The 15,762-nt window shown below is 43.9% G+C and overlaps 1 protein-coding gene across 21 annotated transcripts in view, besides 1 other annotated feature; it reads left to right on the top strand.

Moving 5' to 3' along the window:
- Positions 6,279-6,573: a silencer, noted in NCBI's record as "tiled region #6909; K562 Repressive non-DNase unmatched - State 22:ReprW". NCBI's record gives its function as "represses a minimal TATA promoter and a strong SV40 promoter by Sharpr-MPRA in K562 cells {active_cell/tissue: K562}" and the evidence as "EXISTENCE:reporter gene assay evidence [ECO:0000049][PMID:27701403]".
- The window catches only part of ME3 (malic enzyme 3), a 237,687-nt gene continuing 230,868 nt past the window's right edge, over positions 8,944-15,762 (top strand). For 12 of the 21 annotated variants that reach the window (NR_172888.1, XR_007062445.1, XR_007062441.1 and 9 more), the window contains exons 1-2: positions 8,944-9,236; positions 9,602-9,798. Coding sequence is in view for 8 of the 21 variants with exons in the window: in NM_001395868.1 (NP_001382797.1) it covers positions 9,616-9,798 (183 nt within the window). In the remaining 13 variants the exon portion in view is untranslated. Of the gene's footprint in view, positions 9,287-9,384; positions 9,799-15,762 lie in introns of those variants that run through there. The other 9 variants (NR_172889.1, NR_147831.2, NM_001014811.2 and 6 more) reach the window with 4 other exon arrangements.

The raw sequence follows: 15,762 nt of genomic DNA, 5'->3' as shown, positions 1-15,762 counted from the left end.
CGCTGCCTCTGGAAAACTTCTCAGGGAGCAAAGTTTCTATTCTTGGCAGCATCACTGATATATTATAAAACCTAGATCCCTTCCAACTTTAGAATTATGTAATTTCATGTACCCTGTAATTAGGAGGAATTTTAGAAAGCTCAAATTCAATACTTCTGATTTGTGAAGACACTCCATTCCTCTCCTCATCTCTGTCACATACATCTTGTTAAATGAAATGTTTTTAAAGATATGTGGCAGAGTATCTCGGCCGTCTAAGAGCCTGGATTTGGATGGATATCTTCTGAATTACACAGCTTCCTCCAGAGGTCTGCCATGTGCCTGGAGCAGACAAACATCTTAAATGTGGCAGGGTAGTCAGGGATATCTATGGAGCATCTGGGTACATCACTGATTTACAGGGGGCCTTGGAGCCTCATGAAGAGGAACTTGAGCCTCGTTACAATTGACTGACATGTATGTCTTCTAAACCTGGTGGGCCTACTGAAGCTTGAATGCAGAGATGGAGAGTCTCTCCCCTCCAGAAAAAAACATAGTAAACAAAAAATGTTTGCAGAATAGGCTAGCATTAGAAGCAGGCCCTGGAGAAAGCAGAAGTTCACAGTATGGTATGAGGTTGTCCTGGAATCCACTTTGGTCTGGTCTTTCCCCAGGACCATTTGCATGCCCCGATAAGAAAAGAGATATAATAACGGAATCTGTAGAGGCCCATGCCATTCTGCTGGGGACCTGCCCTCTTCTGAGAGGGTAGTAAATCTAAAGGGACCATGTTACAAGGAGTTCCTGACTTTTCTACCTTACCCTGCAACATCAGGAGACAAAGAGTAAGGAACCACAGAAATGCAGAGAGAGGTATTATAGAAACAGCAGAGTTTCAAGCAGCACCAGCTGGGAAGCAGCTATCCAAAGGGCTTCAGAAGTTACGGTGGCCAGGGCCACAAGAGGGAATCTGAGCTGAATTCCAGCAGTGCTGGGGGCTGAAAGAGGTGGCCACAGCCCCAGTGAGCAAAAGGGGAGCAGAGGAGCTACACCTGTAGCTCAGATTATATAGAAAACTTGCCTCTCTGCTAGGTGGACTCCCAGATATGCACAAAATTGGGGTGAGCTGAGGTCCTGGTATTTGATAGGTGGTAGAGGTAGAACTAGTAAAGGCCAGTAGTGCAAGTAAACCTACCTGCAACATGAGATGAGTGGGGCCCAGGGCACCTTCACCTGACTTCCTTTTTAATAGAACCTGACATTGTATCTAAACCTCTGTGTGTGTGTGTGTGTGTGTGTGTGTGTGTGTGTGTGTCTAAACCGCATGCACTGTGATAATTTAAATATAATGAAACTCAATGAATATTCAGCCTCTACCTCTGGGCATTAACCTGCCTTAGAGAGATTTCACATTAAGCCTTTGAAGCCTGGGCCTTTGAAAATTCACTTAGGTGCATTTTAATCAATGTTTATTCAGCAATTATTACATGTCCAGAATTGTTTTGTGGGAATACAGAGGAGGTATTGCAATAGTAATATTTAATATTTACTAAAGATCTACTATGTGCTAGGCACTTAATCCTCACAACAGCCTTATAAGCTAAATACTACTATTGTTATCTTCATTTTATAGATAAGAAAACTGAACTTCAGAGAAATCAAGTAAATCCCCCAGGATCACTCAGCTAGTGAGTGGCAGAGTTGGGATCTAGACCCAGATGTATCTGACTTTAAAGAGAAAGCTCTTAGCTACTATACAAAGAATATAAAATTATTTATTTGTTTGTTTTGAGACAGGGTCTTGCTCTGTCACCCAGGCTGCAGTGTGGTGGTGCGATCTTGAGTCCCTGCAACCTCCATCTCCCAGGCTCAAGTGATCCTCCCACCTCAGCCTCCTGAATGGCTGGGACTACAGATGTATTTTTTGTAGAGATGGGGTTTTGCCCAGGCTGGTCTCAAACTCCTGAACTCAAGTGATCCGCCTGCCTTGGCCTCCCCAAGTGCTGGGATTACAGGTGTGAGCCACCATGCCCGGCCAGAACATGAAATTTATACTGGCAAAAATCAGAGCCGACAACCTTAAATGGCAACCTCGGTTTATAGCCTTGTGCAAATTAAAGTGTTAAATAACATGCTGCTGGAGCTCAGATCTCAAAATCTGCTTTGCAACAGCAGTGTCAAGCCTGTAAAAAATACAAATAAATTAATAAAGTGTGTAGCTAATTACAATGCCTGAAAAGCAAAAAGATATCTCTCCACTCCATATCATCTGTATGCTGCTTAATCAGTCTCCAGTTTTTACCCTTTGTGAGTCAGTATTTTAGATTTGATACTAAACCCAAAATTCAAGCTAAGGAGAACTAAATCCACCTGCTCTTAGAAGCGCAAGTATTCCTGAAAATAAGGTGCCTCTGGTGAACAATTGGTATGACCTGGAGGGAAAAACATTAGCTTTGTGGTCAAAATCTTTGCTCGGTTCCACAGCTGAGTGAATGCCTGCTCTGTGGGCTGCTTGATGACACAGATAACATCCATTACAATAACAAACTACACAAGCTGAAGCTCAAAACCTGTGAATACGCAAAGGAAACAAATTACATCTCTTTGGGGGAATCCTCAGTGAATCAGGCCAAGGGATTAGAGGCTAAATGCAGACTGAGAGGGGGAGTCAAGTAGCTAAATCTGTGAGAAGGGAAAACAAAAACCACTGAGGTGATGAAGAGCTGAAGAGAACCCAAATGCACTGGGAACAGCCTGTCTTCATCTCACCAATTATATGCATAGAAAACACAGTTTAAAAACACTTAAATCAAAAATAACCTAAACTCTAGTAAGAATCCCAGGATTCCTCCAGATTACTGATGATTTTTGTCCCACCAAGAAATGATTGTCAACGGGGAAAACTATTAATATTTTTGTTTCCCATTATGGAAGTGTGTCAGGACTGTTGCAAAGTTAATTAGGAAACTCAAGGATATGCTCATTACAGCTTAACAAGCTTGGAGCCCATGAAGGAGCTAGTGAAGCTGGTGACAGGGGTCAGCTGGTCCAGGGGATGCTGAATAGGCCAGATGGGCAAATCACACCGTAGACAAAGAGCTTTCCCCCTATCCTGCTGGGCCACCACCCTGACCTCCAAACAAACACTAAGGGCACAAATTTGTTCCCCCTTATCAGCTGCTTAGCTCAGCAGCTGCTGCCATGGCTTTCTGTTTCCACATCTTGCCTTTTTCTAAAAGTTGCCTTTTTGTCTAACTTCTATGTGAGGCAGGAGGCGGCCAAGGAACCCAGGGCATAATGAAGAAATGGTGTGGTAGCCATCAGAGGACTGAGTTCTTGAATAGAGTGTTTCAGGAGGGGCAGAAAATAGATTTTTTAAAACAACTTCTGGGAAATGTGGAGGCCCGCAAAATACACAAAAAGCACTGGTTACTAGTTCTCTCCCTGGTCACTGAGGATAACACTTCCTTCTTGGAACTCCTACTACGTGGTAGAAGTGGGGGCATGTCTAAAATGGATTGTAAATTGTGACTAAAGCAGCCATGAAAATAAGAGCTGGCCAGGCTAGGAACATAAGTGGGCCTTAAGAGTTAGCTTCAGACTAAATGAGAATCAGCCAGGGGTTCTGAGGAGTAATGCAGTCTATTGTGTCCTTCTCTCTGGAAGCAATTATGTTTGGTGCAACCACTACTTGAAATAGTTTATAAACAAACATTTCAAGGTGATTTTGTGATAACACTCTGCAGGGGTAACTGAACTCCGTGGACCACCTCTCTTAGGAATGTGGTTATTTAAAAGATGTTTTCTTGTTAAAATTGGGTATTAAAAGTTATGACAATGCAACAGAAGAATAGAGAAATAGGATGTAATGCAACAGAGAAATAAGAAACGTGTTTTCTGCTACCCAACAAAATGGCCCCTTTATTTTTGCTTTTGATATTCTCAGAATGTCAGAGAACTGTTTATTCCTACTTAATAGAAAAACAGAAGTCAACAAGCCAAAGTGTAGGACAGGGAAAGCGTGGCAGGGAGGTAGGGAGCAGGTCAAGAAGAGAGGGAGAATCAGTTACCTTGGAAACAACTCCAAAGGAAGAGTCAGAAGGACAGGATGCAGAAGCTTCGTGGCCCCATTGGCTCCCCCATGCCCTTTTTTAACTCAAGCCCCTTCTATGCCACAGTCCTCCCATATTTAGGTAATCAGACTCAATTCAGTAGGCATTGATTGCACACACCCTGTCCTAGGTGTTGGGTAGGATGAAAGGTTGAAGAGTGGTGATGAGGATGACGATTGGAGATCAGAGAACCACTGTTCATTGAGTGCTGGCCATGCAGCAGGCCTGACCAAACACGAGCCCTTAGTGTCCTGGGACCACCATGGCACCTGAGCCTGGGTTTAAATCCCAGCCCACTTCAGGTGAGTTATTTAATTTTCCTGGATTTTGTTTATGTGTAAAATGAGGATAATAATGGTACCAATCTATAACAGATGGGTCCAGTTGAGGAGACAGAACCACACAAAGTATATCTCAACAACAGGAAGTTAATATAAAGAACTGGTTTCCCAGGTGCTGCAGGGCTGGATGAGAAGAAAAGGAGTGCTGAGGCAATCACAGATGGTAACCGGAGCATGCAGGTTTCATCTCCAGGGTTGGAGGAACAAAGGGAAGTGGTTGCACCATCAGAAGCTGGACCTGAGGTGAAAAAGACTTGCTGCTAAGTCTGCGGAAGCCTGGGAAGCCTGATTCTAGGCTGTGAAAAGGGGCTGGAGGCTGGGCCCAATGGCTGATGCCGGGTAAATGGCTGTTGCTGGGCGGATGCTGCAGGGAACCAACAGCGAGCAAACAGAAAGGAGAACATTTCCCCTCTCCAGCCCTCAGTCTCCCTTTAGTGCCCCCTATTGGCAGAAATGAACAAGAACCCTGCTGCCAAAGAATGGGTTTATAGGGCCCAAGCTTCAGCCATAAGCCAGAGTAGAAAAAGCTAGATCTGGAGCTGAGCAAAATGGCATGATAGCTCGTGAGGCTAAATGACTTAGCATTTATAAAGTGCTTAGAACAGCACCTGGCACGTAGGTGGTAAGTGTATGCTATAATGCATTTTAAATAAATAAATAAATCCAGCAAAAAACAACGTGAGAAGTGATGTTAGGATCTCAGTTTTATCCATGAGGATGGTGAGGCTTAAAGAGGTCACATAAAATGCTCAAAGTCACTCACTGGTAGAGAGTCCAGACTATCTGGATTTAAAGGTGTTCACTTTTATGAGCCTCTTTGCACAATAGGAGAGATTTTCAAAAGTGCAATAAAAGTGAATAGGAGAGATAAAAATAGCAGAGTTTGTGGGCATCAGGGAGGGAGGGTAAGCTGCTGGTTGGCACTCTCGGAAGGCTCATTGGAGGAGGTAGTGTTTGAGTAGAATTGTAAAGGACAGACAGGGCTTCAACTGGCAGATGCTGGAAGCAGAGGAAACTGCTGAGCAAAGGCCCAGAGTTCAGGGCACATAAGCAGAGTGATGAGTATGCAGACCAGGAAGAAATAAATGATCCCCATAATTCTCCTTTGCTGCAAATAATAATAATAATGATAGAGTTGAAGTGCTTACAAATATTACTAGCAGCAATATGAATTTAAAGAGTTCTTTGGGGCAATCATGAACATTAAATGTTGTGCAGAATATTACGAATAAGTTTGTGAAGCAATGGGATTAACTGAAAAATAATGAATTTTATATTCACCTCCTTTTTAAAATCCATGTGTAAGGTCATTAACATCTGCTTTCAGAAGATAAGAGATCTTGTTTTAAGATAGCTGACTGAGTTAAAAATCTGACTTGAAGCCATTTTGTGCCCTTTTAACAATGTACCAAATTTAGTTTCAATTAATTCCACTCCTTGGAAGGTTATGCACAAATTTGAACCACAATTATATTTAATTCAAGAAACTGAGTTAATTCTAAGTGCCAGGCACTTTCCCAGGTATAGAGATGCAAAGAATTATAAATGGTGGTTGTAGTCATCAAGGAATTCACAATCTAGTAGGGAAACAGGTAGATATTTAAATCTCTGTAATCAAAATGGAAAAGCAAAAGTATTAACTATACCTGGAATATGGAACTGTTGGCTGGAGGAGATGGAATGAGATTCCTTCTCTGCCATCCCAAGAAGCATCATTACAATGATGGCAGAAGTCAGTAAATGGGATATGAAAGGAGAGGGGCCAAGACAAATTATGGAGACCCATTAGTTCTATATAGTGCTGGACCAGATCACCAGATCACAAGCCAACTTCCTGGCTGGCTAAGGAAGTCAGAGTTGTATGGAGTTGGAAGAAGATCTGTAATGTTTCCATGGTTCTGAACCTGGTCTCTGAAATCCTATATTCAGCTCTAAAAGTAAGGAAGTTGCCACAAAAGCAGAAATGGAAACCACACGTGCCAATAAAAACAGCTCACAGTTTCTGATCACCCACTACGGGCTAAGCACTTCAACAGAAAATGAGTATTATATTTAGACTTCTAGTTAGTGGTCCCTAGGAACCATTCTCCCCTTCTTCCTTTTAGTAATAGACTCCCCACTGAACTTCAGTAGAGCACATACATGCCTTTCCTACTACAAACAATATTTTCCAGCCCTCCCTGTAGCTTGATATGAATGTGTGACTTAGTTTTTACCAATGGAATGTGAGTAGAAGTAATATATACAACTTTCATGTCACTTCCACAGAACAGATTTGCTTTGGCTGGGCATAGAGGTTCACGCCTGTAATCCCAGCACTTTGGGAGGCCGAGGCAGGAGGATTGCTTGAGCCCAGGAGTTCAAGAACAGCCTAAACAACACAGTGAGACCCTGTCCCAATTAAAAAAACAAATCGATTTGCTTTCCCTCTGTTTCCTTGTTCCCGCTTTCCACGGCTGGGATGCTAACATGGTGTTAGCGCTGTGTAGAGGCGGGCAACAGCTACAGAAGAGCCTGGCAGCAAAAGAGAAAACCTGGGTCCCTGGACAACTGTATGGAACTGAGAAGCCACCACCTCCTCTTGCTACTGCCTTCTGTCACTGCTCCTGGTGGACCTGCCTTTAACCTTTTCTTTCCTGTCACCAAAGAACAAACACACACACAAAACAACATTGTAGAATTATGCCTGGGTTAAGAGAATATAGGCCACAGGTGAGGACATGTAAGAGACTTTTATATGTAAACTGTACAAGCTTTAGTGAATTGATGCTATAAAAATTATGTTCGCTTGTTTGGAAACCTTTGTTGTTTACATCCTGGTTTCAAATGACTAAAGTTACCTATTAGATATCCTCCAGGGGAGGGAAAGGTCATTGTATTCAGCAAGGGCAAACTGGTTCAACAATCAATTTCCAAATATTTGCATGCACTAGATACCAAAGATGGAAACACACATGATCTCTGCCCCCCAAAGATGTTGACTGGTGGGAAGAAGTGCCAATATAAAAATAGTGTTGAAAGGATTTAGTTAATACTATTGGTTGCACACAATCACACATCTGACACAAACTGGTTTAAGGCAGAAAAAAAGATCATTTATAAGCTTATGTAAATATGCAGTCCAAGAGTAAACCTGACTTCAGGGATGTAAACCCTACTGGATGAGAATCTTCATGGATGGGGCCTGGAAAGCTGTATTTTTGCCCCATCCTTATTTCCTACCAGGTAATTGTAATTCTGTTTTGGAAATAACTATTTTACGTAGATCATTCAAGTTGAAAATTAGATATTACACAGGGAGGAGAGAGACTGCAGGAGGAGACGATTATTCCTGAAGGGATGAGGGAATCCTGAACTCAGGCAGGAGCACCCCTTAGCACATTATGGGCCATGATGTCTGCTTGGTACTTACAACGGGGCTAATGCTGGCACCGGGAGCTTTGAAGGGGTGTCAGCAGAGGACCGTGCCAACTGTCTGTCAGTAAGTCTAAGGGTTCACGATCCTTATGAAAGTGGCTGCCACTTCCCTTCACCTAACAACTATTTATTGTGCAACTACATACCAGGCAGTGAGCTAGGCAGTGAGGACACACAGGTTCACAGGCAAAGAGCCTCTCTTCATGAAGCTTACATTCTAGACAGGAGATAGTCAGTAAACAATCAGAAAAACAAGCGCGCTACTGACTGTGTTAAGTTCTCTAAAGAGAAAAACCCCTTCACTCTATAGTTCCTAGTGCAGGCTGACATTGAATGGGATAGAGGAAAGGCCTTCGAGTTGACAACTTAGTGGAGAACTGAGAGGTGGGAATGAAGTAGTGGTTTGCAAGGCTGGAGTATGAGCCTTCCAAGGAGAGGCAATAGCAAGTGCAAAGGCCCTGCAGTGGGAGGGAACCAAGTGGGGTGAAGACACAGGAAGGATCAAGTATGGCCAGAGATCAGTGAGAAGGAAAGAGTAGAGTAGGATAAGTCTGAAGAGGCTGGCAAGAGCCAGTTTATGGGAAATCTTGTAGGCCCTGAAAGTTTGGATTTTATTCCACACACAACAAAGTGTTTGCTTTAAAAGGAATCTCCTGACTACTGTGTGGAGAAAGTATAAAATTAAGTTTGGGGCTAGATGGACCCCAAGATCCCTGTCTGGCCCCAATAACCCATGGCAAACTCCATGGGGTCCTCAGAAGTCCTCTTAGTAACTGTGGCTCCTATGTCAATGATGCTTAATAGAAGTATCCGCAAAAACAGAAATGTTCTGTATCTGCATACAAGTGGCTCTTGAACTGGAAATGTGGCTAGCGTGACTGCAGAACTGGATGTTAAATTTTATTCTATATAGACTAATTTATTTACGTTTATATAGCCACACGTGGCGAATGGCTATTATATTGGACAGCACAAGGCAACACTGAGCACCGAATGCCTGAGGATTTCTACTCCAAATCCTGAAGGCACGCCCTTCCCCGAATGTTGGGAGAGTGCGAGGATATGCTGACCCCCAAACGCAAATCCCCCTCTGTGCATTTAGTCTTGCCAAGATGGAGAGTCTCAGGCGGGCATTCTGAGCTGCTTCTTGTCACTGGGGAAAACCACGTGCACGCAGTGCTGAGGCGCCCCACGCGCGTCCTCAGGGGAAGCCAGGCACTGAGAACAAAGGTTGTGGGACCGCTCTTTGAGGAACTCACCAGCTCCGCGAGCTCGCGGCCGCCAGCGCGGTCCACCCATTGGCGGGAGAGGACTCACAGACCGCAGCTCCTCACCCCGCCTGCTCCGCAGCGGGACCGCGTAGACCTCAGCTCCCCGAGCAGCGCAGGTGGGCCAGGGAAGGAGAGGACCGAGGCAAGCCACCACGCGGGATTAGGGGTACGGGGACCCCTCGCCGCGCAGTCGCCTCTTTTTCACAGGGATGGGGGCAGGGGTGGCGCCGGCTGTCACCCGCACCGGATCTGCTTCCAGGGCTTGGTTTCGCTTTGCCTGGCTCTTGGCTAGGCCTGGCGCCCCGCGCGGAGCCGAGCAGGTGGCAGCCGAGGAGTGGCGGGGGCTGGAACATTTAACCCTTTGGGAGCACCTGCCCTCTCCCAGAGGGCGCGTCCCCGGATCAGGCCCGGTGCCCCGCAGCGCGCGTGGGTCCTGGCTGGCTGGAAGGAGGCCCTGACCTTGCTTTCTCTCCCGTGCCAGGTCTGCCAAGGACCATGGGTGCCGCGCTGGGGACAGGCACGCGGCTGGCTCCCTGGCCGGGCCGGGCCTGCGGCGCCCTCCCGCGCTGGACACCCACCGCGCCCGCCCAAGGCTGCCACTCCAAGCCTGGCCCGGCGCGCCCTGTGCCCCTGAAGAAGCGCGGATACGATGTCACCAGGAACCCTCATCTCAACAAGGTAATGGGCCAGAGGGCAGGACGGCCCGCGTTGCGATCCCGTGGCTGCCGGAAAATTGCGCCCCGCCCCCTGGACCCAGAAAGGATCCTCCCGGGCGCCCTTCCAGCGGTTTTTCTGTTTTTGCCTTGCAGGGGCTTGTTGTGACTTGGTTTGGCTTTCTTGTCCCTCCTCTCCCTTTTATGCGTGGAGAGAGGCGACCAGTAATGCAGGGAGCCTAATTTCTTCTGCAGTAACAACACAGACCAGGTTTAGATCCTCGCGGTCAGTCTGACCTGCGGTCAGCTCTCCCCTTGATGCTTACTAATTTTATTGGTCTTGGGCAGTTCATTTAACCTACATGAGCCTAGGTTTCCTTATCTGTAAAAGAGATATAATTGTCTTAGGAATGTCGTGAGATCTAAAGAGAAAATGCGGGTAGAAAATGGGGGTACGTTAGAACAGTGCCTGGTACCCAGTGGGAGAATAAATAAGGTTATGATTATTATTCTGAGAAAAAGATTAATTTGAGAGCAAGGATGGAAAAGTCTAGACTTATAGAAATTTTCGAGCTTGCAGGAGCATTAGAGATCCTAGTTTAAACCTCTTCTTTTACAAAAAACAAGACAAAGGAAACTTGCCCAAGGTCACCAGCTAGTTAGTTCTGGCTCTGCCACTGGAATCCAGATCTCCAATGCTTTGGTCGAGTTCAACCCACCGCTAGCTCTTTTGTATTTGTTTTTGGGAATAGAGTTTAGTATCTTTGGTTCAGAGGATTGGGTGAGAGAAATAGAAGCAAGGACAGATTTAGTCCTGTCTCCCCCTACCTCCTCAAATTAACTCACATATCTCATTTAACTTATCTGAGGCCCAACTTTCTCCAGCCTAAAATAGATATTATGATAGACCCACCATTTCTATCTCATTTGGTTATTGTGACAATAAAATGAATCACTGAACTTGAAATCATATTTTAAACTGTATAAAGTGCTGAATAACAATTACTGCAAAATAAATTTTTTTTTCATAATTGCTCTGACTCTGGATTGTGAAATTCAGGTGAGGCAGTCTGTATGGAAAAGATGTTTTTGAGAAGTAGGAACAACTATATAATGTGAAGTATTGTGACTGTTTCCTACAGAACTAATAGAAGCGGCTAAGGAAAAAAAAATCAAAATCAACCTCTATCACATTGGAGTCCTGCTCTTTCCAAAAGAAACCTTAAATTGTTTGGACGCTACCACTTTCCAAAGTGTTCAAGGTGTTTGTTATCACCTTGAATTACTTTGCTAGTAAGCGTTAGAAAATACAAACTGGCTTAAGCACACAAAGGCTCCTTTATCTAAAGAATCTAGAGGAAGGGTTGCAGGCACGGCTTGAACCACAAGCCCAGATGGCATTGCTCAAGATGCAGATTCTCTCTGGCTCTCTACTCTGCCTCTCTGCAAGGTCAGTTTCATCCTCAAGCTCTATTCAGTGAAGTCTCTCACTTCGTTATTGCCACAGTCCTCCATCTCCTGTTCTCACACCACATCATCCAGGAATAGAAAGATACTTTTATTCTGGTAGCTCTTGGGGAAGAGAAAATACCCTTTCTCTGACGCCTCAGAAAGCGAATCCTTCTGCCTTATTGACTCTGATTAGATTCTCTCTTCCCATTCCCAAACCAAAACCAATCACCAGTAATTAAAGCCGGTCAGAGCCCACCCCTGGAGTTAAAATGGGGTTTAAGGTAGGGCCACCCACACCATCTGGCTTGGAATAAAGGGAATATAGATCCTCACAGTAAATATGGATAGTGTCATCAGAAGGAGGAGGAATGGATGTAGAAAGCAAAACAATAAATTCCCACTACAGGCTCCAATCATTGTGAAAATAATTGCCTTAGAATTACTGGCATGTTACCAACCAGCATTTATTGCTTTGTTAAGTAGTTAAGAAAATGAAGGAAGATCTTTAAGTCTTTTTTTAAAACCTAGGTTTTGGTCCCCTGAAATCATTCTTGCCCCTGTCGTTTGCCTCTGATGTAAATTTTTTTCTCCCAAGTACTATAAATAAGTTGTTGATATGGTTTGGCTGTGTCCCCATACAAATCTCATCTTGAATTATAATCCCCATAATCCCCACGTGTTGTGGAAGGAACCCTGTGGGAGGTAATTGAATCACGGGGGTGGTTCCCCTGCATGCTGTTCTCGTGATAATGAATGAGTTCTCACGAGACCTGATGGTTTTATAAGTGCCTGACACATTTCCCCTGCTAGCGCTCATTCTCTCTCCTGCCACCCTCTGAGGAGGTGCCTTCGCCATGATTGTAAGTTTCTTGAGACCTTTCCAGCCATGTGGAACTGTGAGTCAATCAAACCTCTTTTCCTTATCAATTACCCAGTCTTGGGTATTTCTTCACAGCCGTGTAAGAACCAGACTAATACAGGTGTTATCCATAAATCTAAGGACCTGACCTTTCCATGATGTTAAACAACATCTTTTATATATTCCTGAAGTCAGCTGATGCTTGTCTGGGATAAGAAGGGTATCTAGAAGGAGGCTGACAGCCTGTTGGCATCCCCTATTCACTCACCCTTGGGGACAGAAGGGGAGCAACAGAGGGAGTGCTTCCTGGGAGTTACTGTGAGTGCCCTTCTCTTCCCACTGGAGTGCCACCCTCTGGCTGTTCTGTTGTCCTCCAGTGCTCAGAGAGTCTCCATGGAAGGCTTGAGCCTTGGTACTTTGCATCAGCCAGGTGGGAAGATAGTGCTGAGGTTAAATAGAACAATGAGGTTATTACTGAGGAAGCAAAATGGAAGTGCAGTTTTGAAAGAGTCTTCAATGCTGTGCTTAGTGTTCATGTCTGTGGGTGGATTTTTTTCTGTTAGAAGGAGAGCCCTTCCAGGCCAGGTAATGAGATTCGTCCACCTGTGTTTGGCATGGGGTAGTGCCTGAAAGATCTAGCTTAACATTAAATTCTTGGAATGTGTTCACTAGATTTGCAGCTCATTTCGACAGATTAGGAGTGGCATTTAAGTCGCAGCTGTATGACAGAGGGTGGTCAGGAGGTGGAATTATCTGAGAGAAGAGGTGCCGACCAGGGCAAGCATTGCTGCTATTGTGCATTCACTGGGTTCTGGTACCAGCTCCATCATGCTCTGGCCATGTGATCTGTGATGAATCTCATAAGCTCCTCTGCCCGTGTTACACTACTGCTTTGAGGATCATAGGAGACAGCCCCCATGTGGTAAATATTAGGTGATAATGAGGATGATTTCCATAATTGGGGTAGGAAGGCCCCTCAGAGATGATCTAGTCTGGAATTGTTCAGACTATGAGTTACAAACTATGAGACATGAAATTAGCTTAGTGGATCTACCAGCAATTTTTTTAAAGAAATGTATTAGAATGAAATAGAAAAATAGCAAATGCATTGAAGTTAATAAAGATGGATATTTTATCAGGTCAGCATGTAAAATGACTATTTTTACTGTGGATTGTAGTAACAAAAAGTTTTTGAAAATAATTGTTCTCATCCAACATTTTCATTTTCCAAAGAAAAGAGAAGCCAAGGAAGAAGCCAAGCAACTCCACAGAGATTATCATTGGTCATAGAAGTGGACAGAGGCAGCCTGCCTGCTGTATTTGAGTCTACTGAATAATGATGGCAATTCACAACTGCATAGACTGATTTAGGCATATTCCTGATGGTGACAGAATTGATACTAGATGATTCCAAGCTCCCTCCAGGAGTCTAGATTTTCTAAATGATGCAAATTAACTACGCATGAGCTTCTATTTTTCTTTTTAAAACTAATATTCTGCTTTTCTTCTAAAATTTATGTAATGACCTCTTCTATTGTCCATACGGATTTGGCAACAGAGTAAATCTTTGGTTATATGACCCCTCTTTTACTCACATTAAATAGGCAACTATCAGCCCCACTTCACAGGGTTACCTTCATAGGAAGATGCCATCCCCATTCTATAACTGTAGCAACATGTTGATGGGCCATCAACATATTTCTGACCTCCATTTACCTATAGTGTCTTTTAGGAAGAGCCGTCCTATTCCCCACTTGCCAAACTAGATCTGAGTCCCCTCCTATTTGTCTTATCACACTGTTGCCTTCTGGCACTGAGCACACTATTACAATGGCTGGTTGGTTTGCCTTCCACACTAGACCATGGGGACAGACACTCTGTCTTGTCACATGGCATTAGCTCTGTCTGACTTGAAATGCTCAATAAATATTTGTTCTTTAAATGATTTCAATCATGTCATGGCCCCTTTCCTCTCAACTTCATTAATCTGAATGTCACTACTTCACAGCCCAATGCTCTTGCTGCCTAAATAAATGCCTACATATGGCCCATTTGAAGGAAATGCACCTGCTTGACTCTCATCTTCCCAGACTTCAGGGCATTTAACTGAAGGAGTGCATTATTTCCCAGAACACACCAATCTTCCCCCTTTGATCCGTGTGTGCCAGCAGTGATTTTTTTTGCCACGAAATTCCACTGATCCTTCACCTGCTTCTCTGTAGTTTTTTCATCTCTTGAGCTTGATAGTCAGGGAAAGAATGAATGGAAAGTGTGCTTAGTCAAGTCACTGTGATTATGGACCAGGACATTTCACGTAGTGGGGCCTCAGAGACTGCAAGGCACCACGGGTGATGGCCTTCCCAGGTGGACTTGATACATTTAGAGCAGTAAACCTGCAAAGGCTTGAAGGACAGTGCTGCAGTGTTGGCTGTACATCTGAGACTGCACAGATTTCAGCTGAATCCCTTCTGTATTCAATGATGATTTATTAGACTTCCACACAGCTAGGATTTGCCTTTGAATAAAGTATATGATTTTGTTCTCTGCTAGCTTAGAACTTGATCTTGTCTTCTTTGGATGAGGGGAGGTTGTTACTATGGATTTGGCTCATCAATCAGGAGATGTTAAGTGTGTTGTATGGATAATTAGAAGTTTATTGGTGATGCTGGAAGGCAGATTACATAATATATCTTCTCGAGATCTCTGCTTCAGGTATGATGTAAAATTGTGCCTCCTAGTTGAGAGAAACAGTGGATTATTGTGTAAATATTAGCTCCATAAGTGGCAATTTACTCTAGATTTGAGCTTGTACAAAGACTCAGTTGCATTGAAGCTCAAATACTGTTCAGATATGTTGGAACAAACTAGCAGAGGCAGGTTGAAATCAAACTTTTCTCTGTTGAATACTGTCCTAGCTTCACAGGATTACTAAGTATTGGTATTGGGGCTTTGTTTTTAGAACAGCTCAGAGAATGTTTATTAGTTGCTACAGGTTAGGCAATGACAACAATGTGAACCCCAGATACAGAGGCTTAAATAAGATAGAAGTATATTTCTCTGTTAGGAACAAGTCTGGGCAAGCAATCATGAGTTGATGTGTGGTTTGACTTTGTTTCTCTGCCATCCAGTATGCATTTTACATTTCAAAGTCCAGGATGACAGGTCTTACCTCTGCTGTGAATTCCACGCAGAAGCCAATTGGGAAGGGGAAATCCCTTTTAAGGGCACAACTTGGAAGTTATAAATATCACTTCTACTTACATTCAGTTGGCCAGAAGTTGGTCATATGCTACATTTAGCTGCAAGAGAACATGGAAAATGTAATCTTTGGCTGGGCACCCATGTATTCAGCTAAAAATTCTACATTATTAAATAAAGGGAAATTGGAAAATGAAGATACTACCACAAAATGTTGATATGAAGCTTTCATTGTTTCACTCTGTCAATTTTACCCCAGCCTTTAAAAATTTATCTGTTTCTCTATATCCCCACTACCATCAGCCTTTTTCACTCCTTTGCCATCTCATATCTAGATTATGCAAGAACCTCTGAATTAATCTCCCAATTTCCAGTCCTCTTCAGTCTTCAGTCTTCTCCTCTAGATGCTTAGATCTTGGTCCTATCCTTGACCACTCTCTTTCTTTCAGACCCCTTATGGAATCCACCAGAAAATCCTGT

Source organism: Homo sapiens, chromosome 11 (assembly GCF_000001405.40).
Source record: "Homo sapiens chromosome 11, GRCh38.p14 Primary Assembly".
Classification (NCBI taxonomy): domain Eukaryota; kingdom Metazoa; phylum Chordata; class Mammalia; order Primates; family Hominidae; genus Homo; species Homo sapiens.
Note: the sequence above shows the minus strand (reverse complement) of the source record. Positions and strands in the feature narration are given on the sequence as shown.